The 22,852-nt window shown below is 35.5% G+C and overlaps 1 protein-coding gene across 2 annotated transcripts in view; it reads left to right on the top strand.

The window, feature by feature from the left end:
- The window catches only part of CD200R1 (CD200 receptor 1), a 53,899-nt gene extending 46,711 nt beyond the window's left edge, over positions 1-7,188 (top strand). For both annotated transcript variants that reach the window (NM_170780.3, NM_138806.4), the window contains 3 exons: positions 3,200-3,308; positions 3,858-3,903; positions 4,594-7,188. In NM_170780.3, the coding sequence (NP_740750.1) occupies positions 3,200-3,308; positions 3,858-3,903; positions 4,594-4,716 (278 nt within the window). In that variant the 3' untranslated portion in view covers positions 4,717-7,188. The remainder of the gene's footprint in view (positions 1-3,199; positions 3,309-3,857; positions 3,904-4,593) is intronic.
- The last annotated feature ends 15,664 nt before the right edge of the window (positions 7,189-22,852 follow it).

The raw sequence follows: 22,852 nt of genomic DNA, 5'->3' as shown, positions 1-22,852 counted from the left end.
TCTTATAATAACATCTATGATTCATTTAATCACTGTTTAGTTTATTTACTCTCTGCTCTCATCCTACTCTCATTTCTTGTTATTTAAAAACTATTAAATATCAACAAACATATTTAAAGTGCAATTGTTCTGTAAGGCTTCCTGAAAAACATTAGCTCTACCCCTGTCTTTCCAACCCAATTGCCATCTCCATTAAACTCCCCACAGGTAGGTACTTTCAAATTTTCCAGTGTTTCTTCTGGTAATTAGTGCCATTTTTATACAACATGCTCATACTGCTATTTCTTACTGTATCAAATTTAGACATTATGTAATCACAACTTCTTATGGTAGATGAGGATTTCACATTACCTTCTTCCTTTCCTTCAAACTTTAGTTGAGGTAATGCAATTTTTCATTAAATAGCCTATGTTCCCATCAATTTGAATATTTAAGTACTGTTAAGTGCTGAATCAAGAAATACACTCATGCTTTCTCTTTCAAATGACTTTTTTTCCTTGGACTTCATAAGTGCTTTACCTTTTTTGTTTCCTTAAGAATGTATGTACCTATCGTGAACTATCACTAAGCCTATTGACAAAACTAGAGAACCCCTTAGTAATATTTTCTACATGGTCAGATTTATTAGGTAATCTGTTAGTTCTATTTTTTCTCAAAGTCATTCCTTCTTGAGTTTTGGTATGTGTTTGGTCTAATCTCTCCTGATTGGCCTCTAGATCTGCTGTACAGCTATTGTCCTGGACACTCTCATTGCCTCAGTCCTCTACTTAGCCTGTGTCTATTTAATCTGAGTTTCTTCTGTCTTCTATACATTTGTTTGTTTTTAACTCTTTCTTTCATATATGAGACTTTTCTTCACTCTTTGGTAATCCTTGGGTATGGATTCATTTTGAAGTGAGTACTATATGAGCTACTTGGAAGCTCAACTAGTTAATGGTTGGATTTGTCAACTAGTTAGCTTCAGTTCAGTGAAAAGAAGCTGTGATTTTTTAATAACTAGAGATTTGTTATGTATCTGAAGGCCTTTTCTCTGGGGCTGTTCAGGCTCTGCAGAAATTAACTCAGCAGTTTCTGGCCTTGGAGAGATAAGCCTGACTACCAGTGTTTGGGAAAGGAGGGAGCAATATGTGTATGTGTGTGAGTGTGCATGTGAGTGTGCCACTGTTGAGAATCAGACTTCCTTTTATACCTCTCTTCAGTCTGGTATTTCATTCTCACCCTCCCTGATGTCTGGATCCTTGACTTTGGAGTCTCTCCAGTTCATCTTCTTTGGACCAATCTGCCAATCTCCCCTTTTTCTGCTAGTTGGGAAAGGTGTGCTACATAAAATGGAGCAGGAGACAAGGGAACCTGCCTGTTCTCAAGACAAAATTTCAAAGAAGCTCTCAACTTTTAGCCCCACACTTCACCCCTCCACATACTTCTTCTTCTATATTTGATGCTTCCTACTCTAGAGTTTTCCTGGAGTTTTGTGTATACTAAGGTTTGTATTTATTCTATGTTGTAAATCATTAGCGAGTTTTCTATTCATTTCTCACTTAAAAACAGTTCGAAATCTTTCATCTGTTCTTGTCTTCATCCTCTTCTCTTTGTCTTTGCAGATCTACACTAAAAAAAAAATTATTTTTACCAACATTTTAGTAAGTTTTAATGAGGGAGAAGAGAAAATCTCATGTGTTGAAACCACCTTTATTTATATCTATCATTTAAGTCATATGTGTAGGTTTTTTTGAGTTTAGCAATATTTACTGAAAAGAGAAGTTGTGCCTTGGTTATGTGTGAAATATCACCTTTCATATTACTATATGATGTCAGATTTATAGTGTCTCAGAATTGAAGGGAAATTCTCATTCAAATTCCTATGTACAGCAGGGATCTCCTTGATGTCTTCCTTGCACGGTGGATCTTCAGCTTCTGCTAGTACAAATTTAATGAGAGAGAGCTTAGTAGTTTGAAAGCAAGGGTTTTAAAAAATGTTGTTTTAAACAATGTAACCAAACATTTAATTTTCATATAACATATGGAGAAATTCAGTATTTAAAAACATCAACTGTGGAAGAAAGGTGGAAGGACCAGAGGCCAGCCTGCTCAGTCTCCACTTCATCTCCTCTGCTGCCCCTGAGCTATATTCATGCAACACCAGGAGCATAGTTTGCAAATCGTTGCCTCTCAGGCTGGCAATTCCTTGGTTGATTTGCACGCTTGTCAGATAGAGTTTTGTATTGCTGCCAGCAGCTAATAAATAAAGTTCCTGCTGTGTATTCATTTCAGTTTCAATGCCCTGGGAGAAAGATGACTTCAGAATTAGGGTTACTTTTCCAAGTATCTTCCTTACAATTGCCCATTTAGTTGGAGGGGAGAAACACTCTGCTATAACAGAGTGGTAGGAATTCACCACCAATGAATCTTTAAAGCAACAAAACCCTGATATAAGGTGATGTCTTGCTGAAAACTCTGGAGTCTGTATTGAAAAAGCAGTTTTATTTTAATAATTCTCAAACTATTAATGGGGCAGAAGTGTTGAAAATGAAACTACAGATATGAATTTCATGTATTGTGAGACATTATTGAATGATCTATATAGATAGATATGGATATAAATATAGATAACTTTATTTTTAGTAGACATTAATTTTTAGAGCAGTTTTAGGTTCACCGCAAAATTGAGTGGAAAGTACAGAAATTTCCCATATAAGCCCTGCCTTCGCCCATGTCCAACCTCTCCCACCTACACCTGCACCAGAGTGTTACATTTATTAGAACTGTTGAACCTCCATTGATACAACATTACCACCCAAAGTCCATACTTTACATTAGAGTTCATTCTTGGTGTTGTACATTCCATGGGTTTGGACAAATGTGTAATGACATGTATCCACCAGTACAGTATTATATGGAACAGTTTTATTGTCCTACACAATCCTCCTTGCTCTTTCTATTCCTCCCTCCTTCCTCACCACCAGATAATCAATAATTTATTGACTATTCCCCTAGTTTTATCTTTTCCGTAATGTCTTACAATTGGAATCATACAATATGTAACATTTCCAGATTGGCATGTTTCACTTAGTAACATACATTTGAAATTCCTCTATGTCTTTTTATGGTTTGATAGCTCATTTCTTTTTAACATTGAATAATAAGATAGTACATTATTTGGATTGTACCACATTTGAACCATATATTTTTGTGTCTATAGTTCCAGGTGCCAAAAAATCAGCAAAATTATATATTCCATATATCATCCTTACTATTATTATTTTGACCATCGTGGGATTCATTTGGTTGTTGAAAGTCAATGGCTGCAGGTATTGACTAATGAATGTTTTTTTCTTCTTCAGCTTTATTAGGCTAGAAAAGAGTCAGAAATATGGAACTGACCGTATTGGGTATATTAGGATGTTAACATCAAATCTCCCATAATCAAATCTTGAAGGTGTTAGATAGACTTGGACTACTTTGAATGATGAGAGAGACTTTGCTAGGTTGCTTTGGCATAGAAGCATGGAAAATTAGGCCATTTAGGGTAGGATCTTGGGAGAGAAAGTGCATGTTAATTTTCACATTTGGGTAAATAATTACAATTCCTTCATGCACCAAAGAGGAGATGTTACATGCATTCAATTGCATCAAGCTTCTATTGCATAATTTCACTTTTTCAAAATCCGGAATATTCTTAGTTGGGGATATTAACCACGAGCAGTATTCTTCACTTATTTCTAGTAGTTTCTTTCTGATTTATTATGGCTTCTATCAAAATTAAACACAATTGTCAATAGTATACTGTCTTATTTTCCCATTTTCGATCTAAACAATGATGTTTCCTCCATTCACTTCAATTTATTTTATTTTTATAGAAAATATAAATTGAATAAAACAGAATCTACTCCAGTTGTTGAGGAGGTAAGATAAGATAAAAAAGACTAATTGCAAACTTAAGCCAATAGTCTGAAAATCTAGCAACATAATTTGTAGTTTGTATCAATATTAGTGTTTCAGTTGAAAAACTAAAACAGTTCTGACTTGCAGTGCTTATATGTGTGATTACTTTGTTAATTATCTATCAAATACTATTTATACATCATCACTCTGAACCACATTTTCACTTCATGAACTATATCCTAACACATATGATGTTTGGCTCCTTTAGACTGTAATCTTTTGAGGAAATGAATTGGTGTTTCTTGTCACCAATTTGAAAGCATCTCTAATTCCTGACTTTTCCTTTTCAATACTATCATTATTTTTCTCTTACACAAACTTAAAACATATCCTGCTCCTTCATCTCTTATTATAAGTAGCTTACTAAGTCTCCAAAGCTCTCCTTTGGAGTACTCATATCACTTCATTCATCTCCATTCCTACTTGCACAGAGCCATTATCTCCACACAGAGACTTATGTAGTTAACAAATACTTTTTGATAAAATGTTAGAACAAATCCTGCTCTTATGTTTATATAGGCCCAGAAACACAATTATAAGCACTCTTGAGCACCTGTTAGAAATACTAAAGCTATGGGCAACTGTTACAAAAATACAGATAGTCTCTATGATGATTTTTTGAATTGATTTTAACTTTGAGTTCTTTCTTAGGATGAAATGCAGCCCTATGCCAGCTACACAGAGAAGAACAATCCTCTCTATGATACTACAAACAAGGTGAAGGCATCTGAGGCATTACAAAGTGAAGTTGACACAGACCTCCATACTTTATAAGTTGTTGGACTCTAGTACCAAGAAACAACAACAAACGAGATACATTATAATTACTGTCTGATTTTCTTACAGTTCTAGAATGAAGACTTATATTGAAATTAGGTTTTCCAAGGTTCTTAGAAGACATTTTAATGGATTCTCATTCATACCCTTGTATAATTGGAATTTTTGATTCTTAGCTGCTACCAGCTAGTTCTCTGAAGAACTGATGTTATTACAAAGAAAATACATGCCCATGACCAAATATTCAAATTGTGCAGGACAGTAAATAATGAAAACCAAATTTCCTCAAGAAATAACTGAAGAAGGAGCAAGTGTGAACAGTTTCTTGTGTATCCTTTCAGAATATTTTAATGTACATATGACATGTGTATATGCCTATGGTATATGTGTCAATTTATGTGTCCCCTTACATATACATGCACATATCTTTGTCAAGGCACCAGTGGGAACAATACACTGCATTACTGTTCTATACATATGAAAACCTAATAATATAAGTCTTAGAGATCATTTTATATCATGACAAGTAGAGCTACCTCATTCTTTTTAATGGTTATATAAAATTCCATTGTATAGTTATATCATTATTTAATTAAAAACAACCCTAATGATGGATATTTAGATTCTTTTAAGTTTTGTTTATTTCTTTTAAGTTTTGTTTGTGGTATAAACAATACCACATAGAATGTTTCTTGTGCATATATCTCTTTGTTTTTGAGTATATCTGTAGGATAACTTTCTTGAGTGGAATTGTCAGGTCAAAGGGTTTGTGCATTTTACTATTGATATATATGTTAAATTGTGTCAAATATATATGTCAAATTCCCTCCAACATTGTTTAAATGTGCCTTTCCCTAAATTTCTATTTTAATAACTGTACTATTCCTGCTTCTACAGTTGCCACTTTCTCTTTTTAATCAACCAGATTAAATATGATGTGAGATTATAATAAGAATTATACTATTTAATAAAAATGGATTTATATTTTTGGTCATGTTTGTAAGAGAGTGAATGCACGTGTGAGAACATTAGCTTCTTCTGAACTCATTATATCTCCACAGAGGTGTTGATACTTGATGCCTAACAGTTTTGCAGATGTGCTACATTGGAATTGTGTATTTTTATGGTGTACATTCTATTGTGATATATTTATTGAATAATTAATGTCTATTGACCATATAAGTGGCGAAAAATGCACCATAGAGGACATGGGGTATTTATTTACAAACTATGAGCTACATAATAAGCAAGTGGCCATGGGATGGCATGACCCTCCCCTCCATATTTTTGTGGAGCAAAATATTGGCAATGTTTATGTAAATCATTGTTAATATCATGAAATTATTTTTAATTAAAAACATAAGTCTATTTGCTCCATAGCAGAAAAAACATGAGAAGTTTTTTCATCATGATAGAAATTGAAACAAAATATATTCATTCTTCAATCATACCATCTGAGATTTTTAAGACAGCTATTTTGTCTTATAAGTATATTTTTCTCCCTCTAGACATTTCAGTTACTATGGATTTTGTCCTCAAAGGGACTTTTAGTCTATTTTGGATGTAAAGCTAATCTAATGACACTTGGCACATGATATTTTGATCAAGCCATTTTGACTTGACCAAAAAGCAGTGTCCATTAGGTTTCTGCATATAAATATTACCAAGCAATGTTCACAATAGACATCATTACACTGTCCTTGAAATTTATTAATTCTTCATCCAACCCTGGTTGAGCTGAGGCTCATAGTTAGGTTCAAGACTATCTGTTTAAATATTACTGAAAAACAAAGTAAGACAGTACTATGCTTACCTCTTAACTTGATAATGTCAAAACAGGCATGTTAAATGACATCATAGAAAAGACTTCAAGATAATTTATAGAAGTTAAATTATATTGTACAGAAAATAATTGTATGAAAATCTCTACTATGGGGCTGGAACATGGTTGAACATTAGAATGATATAAAAAATTATATATATTCTCCAAATCCACGCTAGACCTGTCAAATTAGAGAATCTAGAGATTAGACCTGGCGTGTCAGCAAGGTCATCCAGGAAGCAGAGGCTGAGACGGAGTTAGGTGTGATTACTTACATAGTCGATTACATTTTACAAATAACATTTTATATGTCTCATTTACTGTGCTTTCTCCCCATCCCATTTTGTATCTTTTCCTTTGCTTTGCTAGATTTGTCAATTTTCTCTCTCTTTCTCTGTCTCTCTCTCTTTCAATATCTCTAATAATTTGAAAGTAATTCATCATAACTAAATATCTATTGGGGTTATGCTTCACTTACAAACTTCTGAAAACGGCTTTACTGAGATATAATTGATATATTTAAGTGTACAGTTTGTTAAATTTTGCACATATTTAAAATGTGGACTTTGGTAAATGTTGACATAGTTTTACATCTGTGAAACCATCAGCATAATCAAGATAATAAACTTGTCCATCACCCCCCAAAATTTTCTTGTTTCTTTGTGAGCCTATCCCTACAAACTTCTTGTTCCTCCTCATCCCCCGCTCCCCAGGCAACCTCTGATCTGCTTTCTGTAACTATGTATTAGTTAGCATTTTTTAGAATTTTCCATAAATAAAATCATGTAAATATCATCACAATAGACACTCTTTTATTTTTTTGGTTGGACTTTTTTTCTCATTATAATTATTTTGAGATACATCCACATCCACACAATGATACTGCATTCTTTTTATTCCAAATAGTATTTAATTTTATAGCTATACCAGTTTGTTTATCTGTTTGCCTGTTGGTGGACATTTGTGTTGTTTCCAGTTTTGGGTTATTAGAAATAAAGCTGCTATACACATTATTTTGCAAGTATTTTTGTTGACATATATTTTTATTTTTCCTGAGCAAATACTGATGAGTGGATTGGCTAGATCAGATGATATGTAGATGTTTCACTTTTAAAGAACTTGCCAATCTTTGTTTCTTTTCTTTTTTTAATTTTTTTTAAAGTAAACTTTTAATTTCAGATTAGTTTCATTTATTATTATTATACTTTATTTTATTTATTTATTTATTTTTTTTTTTTTAATTATACTTTAAGTTTTAGGGTACATGTGCACATTGTGCAGGTTAGTTACATATGTATACATGTGCCATGCTGGTGCGCTGCACCCACTAACTCGTCATCTAGCATTAGGTATATTAAGTCCTGGGATACATGTGGAGAAGGTGCAGGTTTGTTACATAGGTATACACGTGCCATGGTGGTTTGCTGCACCCATCAACCCATCATCTACATTAGGTGTTTCTCCTAATGCTCTCCCTCCCCTAGCTCCCCACCCACCAAAAGGCCCCAGTGTGTGATGTTCCCCTCCCTGTGCCCATATGTTCTCATTGTTCAACTCCTACTTATGAGTGAGAACATGCGGTGTTTGGTTTTCTGTTCCTGTGTTAGTTTGCTGAGAATGATGGTTTCCAGCTTCATCCATGTCCCTGCAAAGGACATGAACTCATTTTTTATGGCTGCATAGTATTCCATGGTGTATATGTGCTACATTTTCTTTATCCAGTCTATCATTGATAGGCACTTGAGTTGGTTCCAAGTCTTTGCTATTGTGAACAGTGCTGCAATAAACATACGAGCGCATGTGTCTTTAAAGTAGAATGATTTATAATCCTTTGGGTGTATACCCAGTAATGGGATTGCTGGGTCAAATGGTATTTGTAGTTCTAGATCCTTGAGGAATTGCCACACTGTCTTCCACAATGGTTGAACTAATTTACACTCCCACCAACAGTGTAAAAGCATTCCTATTTCTCCACATCCTCTCCAGCACCTGTTGTTTCCTGACTTTAATGATCGCCATTCTAACTGGCGTGAGATGGTATCTCATTGTGGTTTTGATTTGCATTTTTCTGATGACGAGTGACGATGAGCTTTTTTTCATATGTTTGTTGGCAGCATAAATGTCTTCTTTTGAGAAGCATCTGTTCATATCCTTTGCCCACTTTTCGATGGGTTTTTTTTTTCTTGTAAATTTGTTTAAGTTCCTTGTAGATTCTGGATATTAGCCCTTTGTCAGATGAGTAGATTGCAAAAATTTTCTCCCATTCTGTAGGTTGCCTGTTCACCCTTATGATAGTTTCTTTTGCTGTGCAGAAGTTCTTTAGTTGAATTAGATCCCATTTGTCAATTTTGGCTTTTGTTGCCCTTGTTTTTGGTATTCTAGTCATGAAGTCTTTGCCCATGCCTATGTCCTGAATGTTATTGTGTAGGTTTTCTTCTAGGGTTTTATGGTTTTAGGTCTTAGGTTTAAGTCTTTAATCCATCTTGAGTTAATTTTTGTATAAGGTGTAGGAAAGGGGTCCCGTTTCAGTTTTCTGCATATGGCTGGCCAGTTTTCCTAGCACCATTTATTAAATAGGGAATCCTTTCCCCATTGCTTGTTTTTGTCAGGTTTGTCAAAAATCAGATGGTTGTAGATGTGAGGCATTATTTCTGAGGCCTCTGTTCTGTTCCATTGGTCTATATATCTGTTTTAGTACCAGTACCATGCTGTTTTGGTTACTGTAGCCTTATAGTATAGTTTGAATTCAGGTAGCGTGATGACTCCAGCTTTGTTCTTTTTGCTTAGGATTGTCTTCGTTGTATGGGCTCTTTTTTGGTTCCATATGAAATTTAAAGTAGCTTTTTTCCAATTCTGTGAAGAAAGTCAATGGTAGCCTGAGGGAGATAGCATTGAATCTATAAATTACTTTGGGCAGTATGGCCATTTTCATGCTATTGATTCTTCCTATCCATGAGCGTGGAATCTTTTTCCATATGTTTGTGTCCTCTCTTATTTCCTTGAGCAGTCGTTTATAGTTCTCCTTGAAGAGGTCCTTCACATCCCTTGTAAGTTGTATTCCTAGGTATTTTATTCTCTTTGTAGCAATTGTGAATAGGAGTTCACTCATGATTTGGCTCTGTGTTTGTCTATTATTGATGTATAGGAATGCTTGTGATTTTTGCACATTGATTTTGTATCCTAAGACTTTGCTGAAGTTGCTTATCAGCTTAAGGAGATTTTCGGCTGGGACGATGGGAGTTTTCTAAATAGACAATCATGTCATCTGCAAATGGAGACAATTAGACTTCCTCTCTTCCTATTTGAATACGGTTTATTTCTTTCTCTTGCCTGATTGTCCTGGCCCGAACTTCCAATACTATGTTGAATAGGAGTGATGAGAGAGGGCATCCTTGTCTTGTGCTGGTTTTCAAAGGGAATGCTCCCAGCTTTTTCCCATTCAGTATGATATTGGCTGTGGGTTTGTCATAAATAGCTTTTATTATTTTGAGATACGTTCCATTAATACCTAGTTTATTGAGAGTTTTTAGCATGAAGGGGTATTGAATTTTATCAAAGGCCTTTTCTGCATCTATTGAGATAATCATGTGGTTTTTGTCATTGGTTCTGTTTATGTGATGGATTACGTTTATTGATTTGCTTATGTTGAACCAACCTTGCATCCCAGGGATGAAGCTGACTTGATCGTGGTGGATAAGCTTTTTGATGTGCTGCTGCTGGATTCAGTTTGCCAGTATTTTATTGAGGATTTTTAGCACCGATGTTAATCAGGGATATTGGCCTGGAATTTTCATTTTTGTTGTGTCTCTGCCAGGTTTTGGTGTCAGGATGATGCTGGCCTCATAAAATGAGTTAGGGAGGAGTTGCTCTTTTTTTTATTGTTTGGAATAGTTTCAGAAGGAATGGTTCCAGCTCCTCTTTGTGCCTTTGGTAGAATTTGGCTGTGAATCTGGCTGGTCCTGGGCATGTTTTGGTTGGTAGGATATTAATTACTGCCTCAATTTCAGAACTTGTTATTGGTTTATTCAGGGATTCGACTTCTTTCTGGTTTAGTCTTGGGAGGGTCTATGTGTCCAGGAATTTATCTATTTCTTCTAGATATTCTAGTTTATTTGTGTGGAGGTGTTTATAGTATTCTCTGATGGTAGTTTGTATTTCTGTGGAATCAATGGTGATATCCCCTTTATCATTTTTTTTTTGTGTATGTATTTGAGTCTTCTCTCTTTTATTCTTTATTTTGTTAATCTTTTCAAAAAACCAGCTCCTGGATTCTTTTTTTTTTTTTTTTTTTTTTTTTGACAGTCTCACTCTCTCACCAGGCTGGAATGCAGTGGCATGATATTGGCTCACTGCAACCTCCACCTCCTGGGTTACAGCGATTCTCCTGTCTCAGCCTCCTGAGTAGCTGGGACTACAGGCACACACCACCATGCCCAGTTAATTTTTGTATTTTTAGTAGAGACAGGGTTTCACCATGTTGGCCAGGATGGTCTTGATCTCTTGACCTCATGATCTGCCTACCTTGGCCTCCCAAAGTGCTGAGATTACAGGGATGAGCCAGTGTGCCTGGCCTGGATTCATTGATTTTCTGAAGGGTTTTTTGTGTCTCTATGTCCTTCAGTTCTGCTCTGATCTTAGTTATTTCTTGTCTTCTGCTAGCTCTTGAATTTGTTTGCTCTTGCTTCTCTAGTTATTTAATTGTGGTGTTAGGGTGTTGATTTTAGACCTTTCCTGCTTTCTTCCTGTGGACATTTAGTGCTATTAATTTCCCTCTTAACACTGCTTTAGCTGTGTCCCAGAGATACTAATATGTTGTGTCTTTACAATTTGGTATGTTTTTGCAGTGGCTGGTCCCAGTTTTTCTTTCCATATTTAGTGCTTCCTTCAGGAACTCTTGTAAGGCAGGCCTGGTGGTGATAAAATCTCTCAGCATTTGCTTGTCTGTAAAGGATTTTATTTCTCCTTCACTTATGAAGCTTAGTTTGGCTGGACATGAAATTCTGAGTTGAAAATTCTTTTCTTTAAGAATGTTAAATATTGACCCTGAATCTCGTCTGGCTTTTAGGATTTCTGCCAAAAGAGCCACTGTTAGTCTGATGGGCTTCCGTTTGTGGGTAACCTGACCTTTCTCTCTGGTTGCCCTTAACATTTTTTCCTTCATTTCAACCTTGGTGAATCTGATGATTATGTGTCTTGAGGCTTGAGGTTGCTCTTCTTGAGAAGTATCTTTGTGGTATTCTCTGTATTTCCTGAATTTGAATGTTGGCCTGTCTTGCTAGGTTGGAGAAGTTGTCTTGTGTTTATGTCTGTCTCCAAATTCCCTCTTTATATAAGGATTCCAGTCATACTGGACTACGGCCCACCCTAGTGACTTCATTTTAACTTGATTTTCCCTGAAGTGACCCTGTCTGAAGTATTAGGGGCTAAGACTTCAACATGTAAATTTTAGGGGAACACAATTCAATCCATAACAAATGTATTGCCTTTCCATTTCTTTTAATTCGTTATAGCAGCTAACACTTTTCTCCCAGCTATAAATTTACCATCACAGATCCCGTTTTATGTAAAGAGATTATCACTATGACTATTGGTTTGGAGCAAATATTACTAAAAGTCACAATTCATGCATTTGAGGGTGGAGGAGGTATGCTGATTTTGTATCCTGCAACTTTATTCTATTCATTTATTAGCTCTAACAGGTTTTTTTTGGTACGTGTGTAATCTCTAGAGTTTTTTTAAATATATAAAATCATGTCATCTGCAAACAGGTACAATTTTACTTCTTCCTTTCTGATTCATATGTCTTTTATTTCTTTTTCTTGCCTAATTACTCAGGCTAGGACTTCTAGTATTACACTGTATAGAAGCAATGAGTGTGGACATTCTCGTCTTCTTCCCGATCTTAGTGGAAAAGACTTCAGTTAATCACTGTTAAGTATGATGTTAGCTCAGGACTTTTCTTTATGATCTTTATTATGTTGAGGTACATTCCTTCTATACCTAATTTGTTGAGAGATTTTTTAAATTTTTTTATTTTTTATTTTATTATTATTATACTTTAAGTTTTAGGGTGCATGTTCACAATGTGCAGGTTTGTTACATATGTATATATGTGCCATATTGGTGTGCTGCACCCATTACCTCATCATTTAGCATTAGGTATATCTCCTAATGCTATCCCTCCACCCTCCCGCCACCCCACAACAGTCCCCGGTGTGTGATGTTCCCCTTCCTGTGTCCATGTGTTCTCATTGTTCAATTCCCACCTATGAGTGAGAACATGCAGTGTTTGTTTTTTTTGTCCTTGCGATAGTTTGCTGAGAATGATGGTTTCCAGCTTCATCCATGCCCCTACAAAGGACATGAACTCATCATTTTTTATGGCTGCATAGTATTCCATGGTGTATATGTGCCACATTTTCTTAATCCAGTCTATTCTTGTTGGACATTTGAGTTGGTTCCAAGTCTTTGCTGCTGTGAATAGTGCCACAATAAACATAATGTGCATGTGTCTTTATAGCAGCATGATTTATAATCCTTTGGGTATATACCCAGTAATGGGATGGCTGGGTCAAATGGTATTTCTAGTTCTAGATCCCTGAGGAATCGCCACACCAATTTCCACAATGGCGGAACTAGTTTACAGTCCCACCAACATTGTAAAAGTGTTCCTATTTCTCCACATCCTCTCCAGCACCTGTTGTTTCCTGACTTTTTAATGATCACCATTCTAACTGGTGTGAGATGGTATCTCATTGTGGTTTTGATTTGCATTTCTCTGATGGCCAGTGATGATGAGCATTTTTTCATGTGTCTTTTGGCTGCATAAATGTCTTCTTTTGAGAAGTGTCTGTTCATGTCCTTTGCCCACTTTTTGATGGGGTTGTTTGTTTTTTTCTTGTAAATTTGTTTGAGTTCATTGTAGATTCTGGATATTAGCCCTTTGTCAGTTGAGTAGGTTGCAAAGATTTTCTCCCATTCTGTAGGTTGCCTGTTCACTCTGATTGTAGTTTCTTTTGCTGTGCAGAAGCTCTTTAGTTTAATGAGATCCCATTTGTCATTTTTGGCTTTTGTTGCCATTGCTGTTGGTGTTTTAGACATGAAGTCCTTGCCCATGCCTATGTCCTGAATGGTATTGCCTAGGTTTTCTTCTAGGGTTTTTATGGTTTTAGGTCTAACATTGAAGTCTTTAATCCATCTTGAATTAATTTTTGTATAAGGTGTAAGGAAGGGATCCAGTTTCAGCTTTCTACATATGGCTAGCCAGTTTTCCCAGCACCATTTATTAAATAGGGAATCCTTTTCCCATTGCTTGTTTTTGTCAGGTTTGTCAAAGATCAGATAGTTGTAGATATGCGGCATTATTTCTGCGGGCTCTGTTCTGTTCCATTGGTCTATATCTCTGTTTTGGTACCAGTACCATGCTGTTTTGGTTACTGTAGCCTTGTAGTATAGTTTGAAGTCAGGTAGTGTGATGCCTCCAGCTTTGTTCTTTTGGCTTAGGATTGACTTGGCGATGTGGGCTCTTTTTTGGTTCCATATGAACTTTAAAGTAGTTTTTTCCAATTCTGTGAAGAAATTCATTGGTAGCTTGATGGGGATGGCATTGAATCTCTAAATTACCTTGGGCAGTATGGCCATTTTCACGATATTGATTCTTCCTATCCAAGAGCATGGAATGTTCTTCCATTTGTTTGTATCCTCTTTTATTTCATTGAGCAGAGGTTTGTAGTTCTCCTTGAAGAGGTCCTTCACATCCCTTGTAGTTGGATTCCTAGGTATTTTATTCTCTTTGAAGCAATTGTGAATGGGAGTTCACTCATGATTTGGCTCTCTGTTTGTCTGTTATTGGTGTATAAGAATGCTTGTGATTTTTGCACATTGATTTTGTATCCTGAGACTTTGCTGAAGTTGCTTATCAGCTTAAGGAGATTTTGGGCTGAGACAATGGGGTTTTCTAGATATATAATCATGTCATCTACAAACAGGGACAATTTGACTTCCTCTTTTCCTAATTGACTGCCCTTTATTTCCTTCTCCTGCCTAATTGCCCTGGCCAGGACTTCCAACACTATGTTGAATAGGAGTGGTGAGAGAGGGCATCCCTATCTTGTGCCAGTTTTCAAAGGGAATGCTTCCAGTTTTTGCCCATTCAGTATGATATTGGCTGTGGGTTTGTCATAGATAGCTCTTATTATTTTGAGATACATCCCATCAATACCTAATTTATTGAGAGTTTTTAGCATAAAGCGTTGTTGAATTTTGTGAAAGGCCTTTTCTGCATCTATTGAGATAATCATGTGATTTTTGTTTTTGGTTCTGTTTATATGCTGGATTATGTTTATTGATTTGTGTATGTTGAACCAGCCTTGCATCCCATGGATGAAGCCCACTTGATCATGGTGGATAAGCTTTTTGATGTGTTGCTGGATTCGGTTTGCCAGTATTTTATTGAGGATTTTTGCATCAATGTTCATCAAGGATATTGGTCTAAAATTCTCTTTTTTGGTTGTGTCTCTGCCCGGCTTTGGTATCAGGATGATGCTGGCCTCATAAAATGAGTTAGGGAGGATTCCCTCTTTTTCCATTGATTGGAATAGTTTCAGAAGGAATGGTACCAGCTCCTCCTTGTACCTCTGGTAGAATTCGGCTGTGAAGCCATCTGGTCCTGGACTCTTTTTGGTTGGTAAGCTATTGATTATTGCCTCAATTTCAGCGCCTGCTATTGGTCTATTCAGAGATTCAACTTCTTCCTGGTTTAGTCTTGGGAGGGTGTATGTGTCAAGGAATTTATCCATTTCTTCTAGATTTTCTAGTTTATTTCCTTAGAGGTGTTTACAGTATTCTCTGAGGGTAGTTTGTATTTCTGTGGGATCGGTGGTGATATCCCCTTTATCATTTTTTATTGCATCTATTTGATTCTTCTCTCTTTTCTTCTTTATTATTCTTGCTAGCATTCTATCAATTTTGTTGATCGTTTCAAAAAACCAGCTCCTGGATTCATTGATTTTTTGAAGGGTTTTTTGTGTCTCTATCCCCTTCAGTTCTGCTCTGATCTTATTTATTTCTTGCCTTCTGCTAGCTTTTGAATGTGTTTGCTCTCACTTCTCTAGTTCTTTTAATTGTGATGTTAGGGTGTCAATTTTAGATCTTTCCTGCTTTCTCTTGTGGGCATTTAGTGCTATAAATTTCCCTCTACACACTGCTTTGAGTGTGTCCCAGAGATTCTGGTATGTCGTGTCTTTCTTCTCGTTGGTTTCAAAGAACATCTTTATTTCTGCCTTCATTTCGTTACGTACCCAGTAGTCATTCAGGAGCAGGTTGTTCAGTTTCCGTGTAGTTGAGCGGTTTTGAGTGAGTTTCTTAATCCTGAGTTCTAGTTTGATTGCACTGTGGTCTGAGAGACAGTTTGTTATAATTTCTGTTCTTTTACATTTGCTGAGGAGAGCTTTACTTCCAACTATGTGGTCAATTTTGGAATAGGTGTGGTGTGGTGCTGAGAAGAATGTATATTCTGTTGATTTGGGGTGGAGAGCTCTGTAGATGTCTATTAGGTCTGCTTGGTGCAGAGCTGAGTTCAATTCCTGGATATCCTTGTTAACTTTCTGTCTTGTTGATCTGCCTAATGTTGACGGTAGGGTGTTAATTTCTCCCATTATTATTGTCTGGCAGTCTAAGTCTCTTTGTAGGTCACTCAGGACTTGCTTTATGAATCTGGGTGCTGCTGTATTGGGTGCATATATATTTAGGATAGTTAGTTCTTCTTGTTGAATTGATCCCTTTACCATTATGTAATGGCCGTCTTTGTCTCTTTTGATCTTTGTTGGTTTAACGTCTGTTTTATCCGAGACTAGGATTGCAACCCCTGCCTTTTTTTTGTTTTCCATTTGCTTGATAGATCTTCCTCCATTCCTTTATTTTGAGCCTATGTGTGTCTCTGCACGTGAGATGTGTTTCCTGAATACAGCACACTGATGGGTCTTGACTCTTTATCCAATTTGCCAGTCTGTGCCTTTTAATTGGAGCATTTAGCCCATTTACATTTAAGGTTAGTATTGTTATGTGTGAATTTGGTCCTGTCATTATGATGTTAGCTGGTTATTTTGCTCGTTAGTTGATGCAGTTTCTTCCTAGCCTTGATGGTCTTTACAATTTGGCCTGTTTTTACAGTGGCTGGTACTGGTTGTTCTTTCCATGTTTAGTGCTTCCTTCAGGAGCTCTTTTAAGGCAGGCCTGGTGGTGACAAAATCTTGAGAGCTTTTTATTGTGAAAGAGCATGGAATTTCATCAAATAATTTTGTTTGCCTCCATTGAGATAATCATGAGATTTTTTTTTACCCTTCATACTGTTAATTTGGTATATTACATTGGTTTTTGTATGTTGAACCATCCTTGCACCACAGGGTTAAATCCCAAATGGTTATGGTATATGATTCTTTTAATGTGCTGTTGAATCCAGTTTGTTAGTATTTTATTGAAGATTTTTGCATCTATCTTTATCAAGGATATTGGCTTATAGTTTTGTTTTCTTGTGGTGTCTTGTTCTGGTTTTGATATCAAGGTAATGCTTGCCTCATAAAATGAGTTTGAAAGTGTTCCTTCTTATTGAGTATTTTGAAAGAATTTGAGAGCAATTGGTACAAATTATTTATTAGATGTTAGGTAAATCTTTCCAGTGAAGGCATCAGGTCCTGGGCCTTTCTTTGTTGGGAGTTTTCTGATTCTGGTTTCAATCTTATTGTTAGTTATAAGTCTTTCTATTTCTTCATGATTGAGTCTTGGGAGGTGATATGTTTCTAAGAATGTATCCATTTCTTATAAGTTATCTAACTTGTTGGCATAAAATTGTTTGCAGTAGTCTCCTGTAACCTTTTTATTTCTGTGGCAACAGTTGGAATGTTTCCCCTTTAATTTCTGATTTTATTTATTTATTTGTCTTTTCTCCTTTTTTTCTTAGTCTAGCTAAAGGTTTGTCAATTTTGTCTTTCAAAAAGCCAACCTGAGTTTCATTGATGTTTTTCTATTGTTATTTTATTCTCTATCTTGTTTCCTTCTGCTGTAATCTGTATTATTTCCTTCTTCTGATAACTGTGGGTTTAATTTGTTTTTATTATTCTAGTTCCTTGTGGTATAGAGTTAGGTTTTTTATTTGTGGTTTTTCTTCTTTTTAATGTAGGCATTCATTGCTATAAACTTCCCTTTTACCACTATTTTTGCTGTATCTCAGGAGTTTTGGTATGCTGTACTTTCATTGTTGTTTGTGTCAGGTGTTTTTTATATCCCCTTTTGATTTTTTTTTGACCCACTTGTTTGAAAATGCATTATTTAATTTCCACATATTTATGAATTTTCATCAACATACAAAAATCAGTTGCATTTCTATATACTAATAAACTATCTGTAAAGGAAATGAGGAAAACAATCCTATTTACATTAGCATCAAAAAATACTTGTGAATAAGCTTAACTAAGCAAGTGAAATACTTGTTCACTGAAAATTACAAAACATTGATGAAAGAAATTAATGAAGACACAAACAAATGGAAAGACATTCTGTGTTCATGGATTGGAAGGCTTAATATTGTTACAATGTTTATACTACCTGTTATGGTTTTCATGTTTGTGTTCCCTCCAAAATTCTTGTTGAAACTTAATGCTCAATGCAACAGCATTAAGAGGGGGGCCCCTCAGAAGTGATTAAGCTATAAAGGCTTCACCCTCATGAATGAACTACTGACTTAATAAAGAGGCAGACAGGGACCCCCTTTGTCCCTTCTGTCATGTGAAGACACAACATACTTACTCTGCAGAGGATTTAGCAAGAAGGCATCGTCTTTGAAGCAAATAGTAGCACTCATAAGACACTGAGTCTACTGGTGCCTTGATCTTGAAGTTCTCAGCCTTCAGAGCTGTGAGAAATAAATTTCTTTTGTTTGCAAATTACTCAGTCTGTGGTATTTTGTCATAGCAGCAAAATAGGCTAAGACACTACAAAGATCTACAGATTCAATTCAATTCTTATCAAAATTCCATGACATTTTTACAGAAATAGAAAATCAATTATAAAATTCATATGAAACCATAAAAGACCTTAAACAGCCAAGAATAAACTTGGAGGCATTACACTTCCTTATATCAAAATATACTACCAGGCTACAGTAATTAAAACAGTATGCTACTGGCATAAAGACATCTATAGACCAGCATAACAGAATAGAGATCCCAGAAATAAATTCATGCATATATAGTCAACTGATCTTCAACTAGGATTCCAAAAATACACAATGGGGACAGAACAGTCTCTTTGACAATTGATATTGGGGAAACTGAATAACCCTAGGCAAAAGAATAAAATTGGGCCCTATCTTATGGCCTACACAAAAATCAACTCAAAATAGAGGGTGGGCAAGAAATAGAGGATAGAATTTCTTTGTTATTTCACTAAAAATCCCAAATTCACCTTCAAATGTGTTGAGGAATTATCTATCTGGAGACAAGAATCTGATCCTGGTGATAACTCTGTAGTATAGAAAGTTAACAAATGTGCACAATTATATCCATCTTTTTCATACAAAGTTATCACTAACCATTCTTTTTGTCTAGCCAAACTGAAACCAGTATGAACCACTGGAAGTGGGTGGGGAGAACGCACAGGAAAATCCAAGGGCAGGATTATTGTGTGGTCAGGAAGATGTAAGGAGAATTTATGGGCAGAAACTTCAGCCTACTGGTCAGCACTCTTTATCTTTACCTTTGCAACCCATGTAGCAACCCTGAGTTTGCAGAAGGAAAGAGCATATCCTAAATTGCTTTAGCCAAAAAAAACAAACTGAACAGAGATGAAAAGAGATATTAAGTAAATATTATGAAGTAGAAGAGGCTAATACAATAATTTAGGTGAAGAATTATTTGTATTATGATCTTTTTGAGCATGTTACTTTTAAATACTTTCTGCCTCAGTGATTTCTATGTTAAAGTGCATATCCCTGGAAGGAGAGATTGTGTGTAACTCCTCTCATAAGCCACACAACAAAATACCAAAAAATATACATAGACACACATACAAAATGCAGTAGAAGATAAGGAAAATTACTTATGAAAAGGTCTTTCTTTCTATGCTGGTTATTCTTCTACCGTATCATTAATTGACTTAGGATAAGTTTCTTAACCTTTTCGAATCTCTACTTCCTTATCTATAAAAATAAATATAACTATACATGCCTCATAAGAATCATTCTGACAGTATCTGGGACATAGCTCAATCAATTACAATTGGATCTGAATCCTGGGTCAAATATACATGCTTCTCTTGAAATAAGTAAATGTATAAAAGCACAAACCAGAAAATTCAGTCATTATCACCTCAACTGTGCAAACAGGAAATGCTTCTATTTAAGTTGCTCATGAGCCAAAAATACAACCATCTAAGAGAGCAGGGGATTTCTCACCAGTGCTAATGGAGCAGAGCAAGAGAAGTAAAATACCATAACTAGGCCTATTATACAGTGGAAGAAAACATAGAGGCAAAGATAAGAAAAAAAAAATAGAAATAACTCCCTTTGGAAGATGGCTTCAGCTTTTGGGATACTGTTCACATTTTTTTTCATAGCTGGTGAGTCTGTTGGCCAAGTTGCGGGGATGCTGAGGGGTATTGGGCGAAGTAGAGAGGAAACCATAATTAGAAAAATACATTAGAATATTTTTCCACTAGAGCTTTTCCACTAGTCCTTTAAAATGCTCAGTTTAAAATAGCTCAAAGAGTGAAAATGCTACTTTATTTTAATCACTATGTTTTAAAAAAGAAAGATAATGTCTTAATTACTTATATTTCTGCCAAAATTATCTTTGAAAAAACATTTCTTAATAAAAAAATAAAAAAATGCCACAGGATTTTAAATAAAAATGGAGATTTCTAGTTTGACATGGTGAATTGAATAGATGTATCGTGTCTATTCTCTCCTGAATGGCTATTAATATGACAATAATAATATTTAAAACATATAGGCCTAAAGGAATCAAAATGTCAGGAGAGAAGACACAGGGGGTTAGGAAACATTAACGTATTTTGGAGGATGGAAAGCTTGATCACCCAGGAGAATAGAGGAAGCTGAACGTGTTTCTTCAGGAGGAAACAGAACCAAGCTGCAAAGGCTCAAGAATTGGGTTTTGCAGAAAGTGAGTGCAAAGCCCAGGTCTGGAATTAAGAGAATTGTTTGAAATTCTGTGTAAGAGGTGGTTAGACCCTGAAAAGTCTCAACATTCCCTTCCAAATTCTCAGATTTTAGATTTATTCCCTATAGAACATGAATCACAAAGAATTTAGTCTTACAGACAATGGGAACAGAAAGATTCAAGAGGAGATATGGGGCTGAAAATAGGTGGATTAAGTGGAATCTATATATTTACCAGAGAAATACACCCCCAATCCCTGCCAGCCCTCATTCCCTGTCCAGGTCCCCAAATACCCCAGATAGGCACACATACCTCTTGGGACAAGATTTTGAGCAACTTTCAAGGCAGAAACTGAATGACCCTTGCGAATATGCTACAGATTCAAAGAAAATTTCAGGCATGTAAACTCTCAAATAAGGAGAAAACCAGTAAAGAAGCTAGGATTCTGGAAACATGGGCTTCAATAGAGAAGACAGCTGAGGAGATTTCCCAGGTAAATATCAAAAGAAAGTGCCAGAATAAGAAATCATAAAATGGAAATAGGAAGCAACCAGTCAGGATTGGAGCAGGAGAGTAAAGATTTCTGGAAATAAATTTAAAGTGGAACTCAGACCAACTTAGTTGGTCACAGATGACTTTTTATTATTCCCCTGAATATCATTTTCTTCCACTATGCCTCTTCATAATCAGCTTGTTATATCAGTTCAAATGCAACATTGCTATGCCTCTGTTAGTATCATCTCTTCATAAATCCTTCAATTTCTCCAAAATTACATTTCTCAGGAAATTCACTTTAGTTGTCATAAATTCTGTACATAGTTCCATTTGTGGAGAACGCAGTGACTGTAGCAAAGCTGTCAGAGTAAAAACAAGACCATGATTAGCTTACTAATTCTTGTACCTGTAACTCCCAGAATTTTATAGTGAATTTCTTTTAAAATCCTCCACTTGAATACCTGCCTTCATCTCTGAACTTGTCTGCATCTAGTACAGGAAGCAAAGAAAGGAGAAAGGATAGATAACATTGTGTTAATTAAGATGTATCATATTGGGCTGGGTACATTGGCTCACATCTGTAATCTCAACATTTTGGAAGGCCAGGACCAATGGATTGCTTGAGGCCAGGTGTTTGAGACCAGCCTGGGCAACATAACAAGACCCCATCTTTATAAAAAATAAAAATAAAAGAATTAAAATAAAAAAATAAAAATAAAAGAATTAGCTGAGCATAATGGCTACCATACCTGTAGCCTAGTTACTTGGGAGGCTGAGGTGAGAGGATTGCTTGAAACCAGGAGTTGAAGGTTACATGAGCTATGATTGTGCCACTCCACTAAAGCCTAGATGACATAGTGAGACCTTGTTCCTTAAAAAAGGTACCATGTTGATACAAAAATAAGGTAATGATAAATAGTTGATGTATAATAGAAATAATTAATATTTAAAAAATTAAACACAGAAACAAGTAACCAAAAGAATTTCCCACACACCAACAGCTAGTATAGTGGTACTTTGGCAATATTTCTATTATTTTAGAGAGATAGATTGTCTCTATATACTATTTACATAGACAAAATTTCAGGTTTTAGATACCAAACAATTGTTGCTATTTTGTTTTTTCACTGAATCAACTCTTGGTGATATATAAACATCATTAAATTTGCTCCACTTTTCATACTTTTTTAGTTTAGTTTCATGCATAGTGGGCTTAAATTAGCTGTGTATATATGCTCATTCCTATAAAGCAATTGATACTGAAAAATTAAAATTTTACTCAATCATTGATTGACTTATAACTGTTCTTTTATTATGTACCTTATGGCAAAGCTGTCCTTGAACAAAGTGGCTGCTCAATATATATTTAATTGATTTTTAAAAATTTGTTTAGGGATGTTAGTACATAGAAAATGGTAAACTACAGGGAAAATTATACAAGCTAGTTGTACATATATCATGTAAGAATAATTTTTCGAAGAATGACTTCTTTTTTCTGGGTAGATACACAGTAGTGAGATTCCTGGATCAAATCATAGTTCTACTTTTAGTTCTTTAAGGAATCTTCACACTGCAATTGCAAAAATATGGAACCAGTCTAAACGCACATCAATCAATGATTGGATAAGGAAACTGTGACATATAT

Source organism: Homo sapiens, chromosome 3, assembly GCF_000001405.40.
Source record: "Homo sapiens chromosome 3, GRCh38.p14 Primary Assembly".
Classification (NCBI taxonomy): Eukaryota; Metazoa; Chordata; class Mammalia; order Primates; family Hominidae; genus Homo; species Homo sapiens.
Note: the sequence above shows the minus strand (reverse complement) of the source record. Positions and strands in the feature narration are given on the sequence as shown.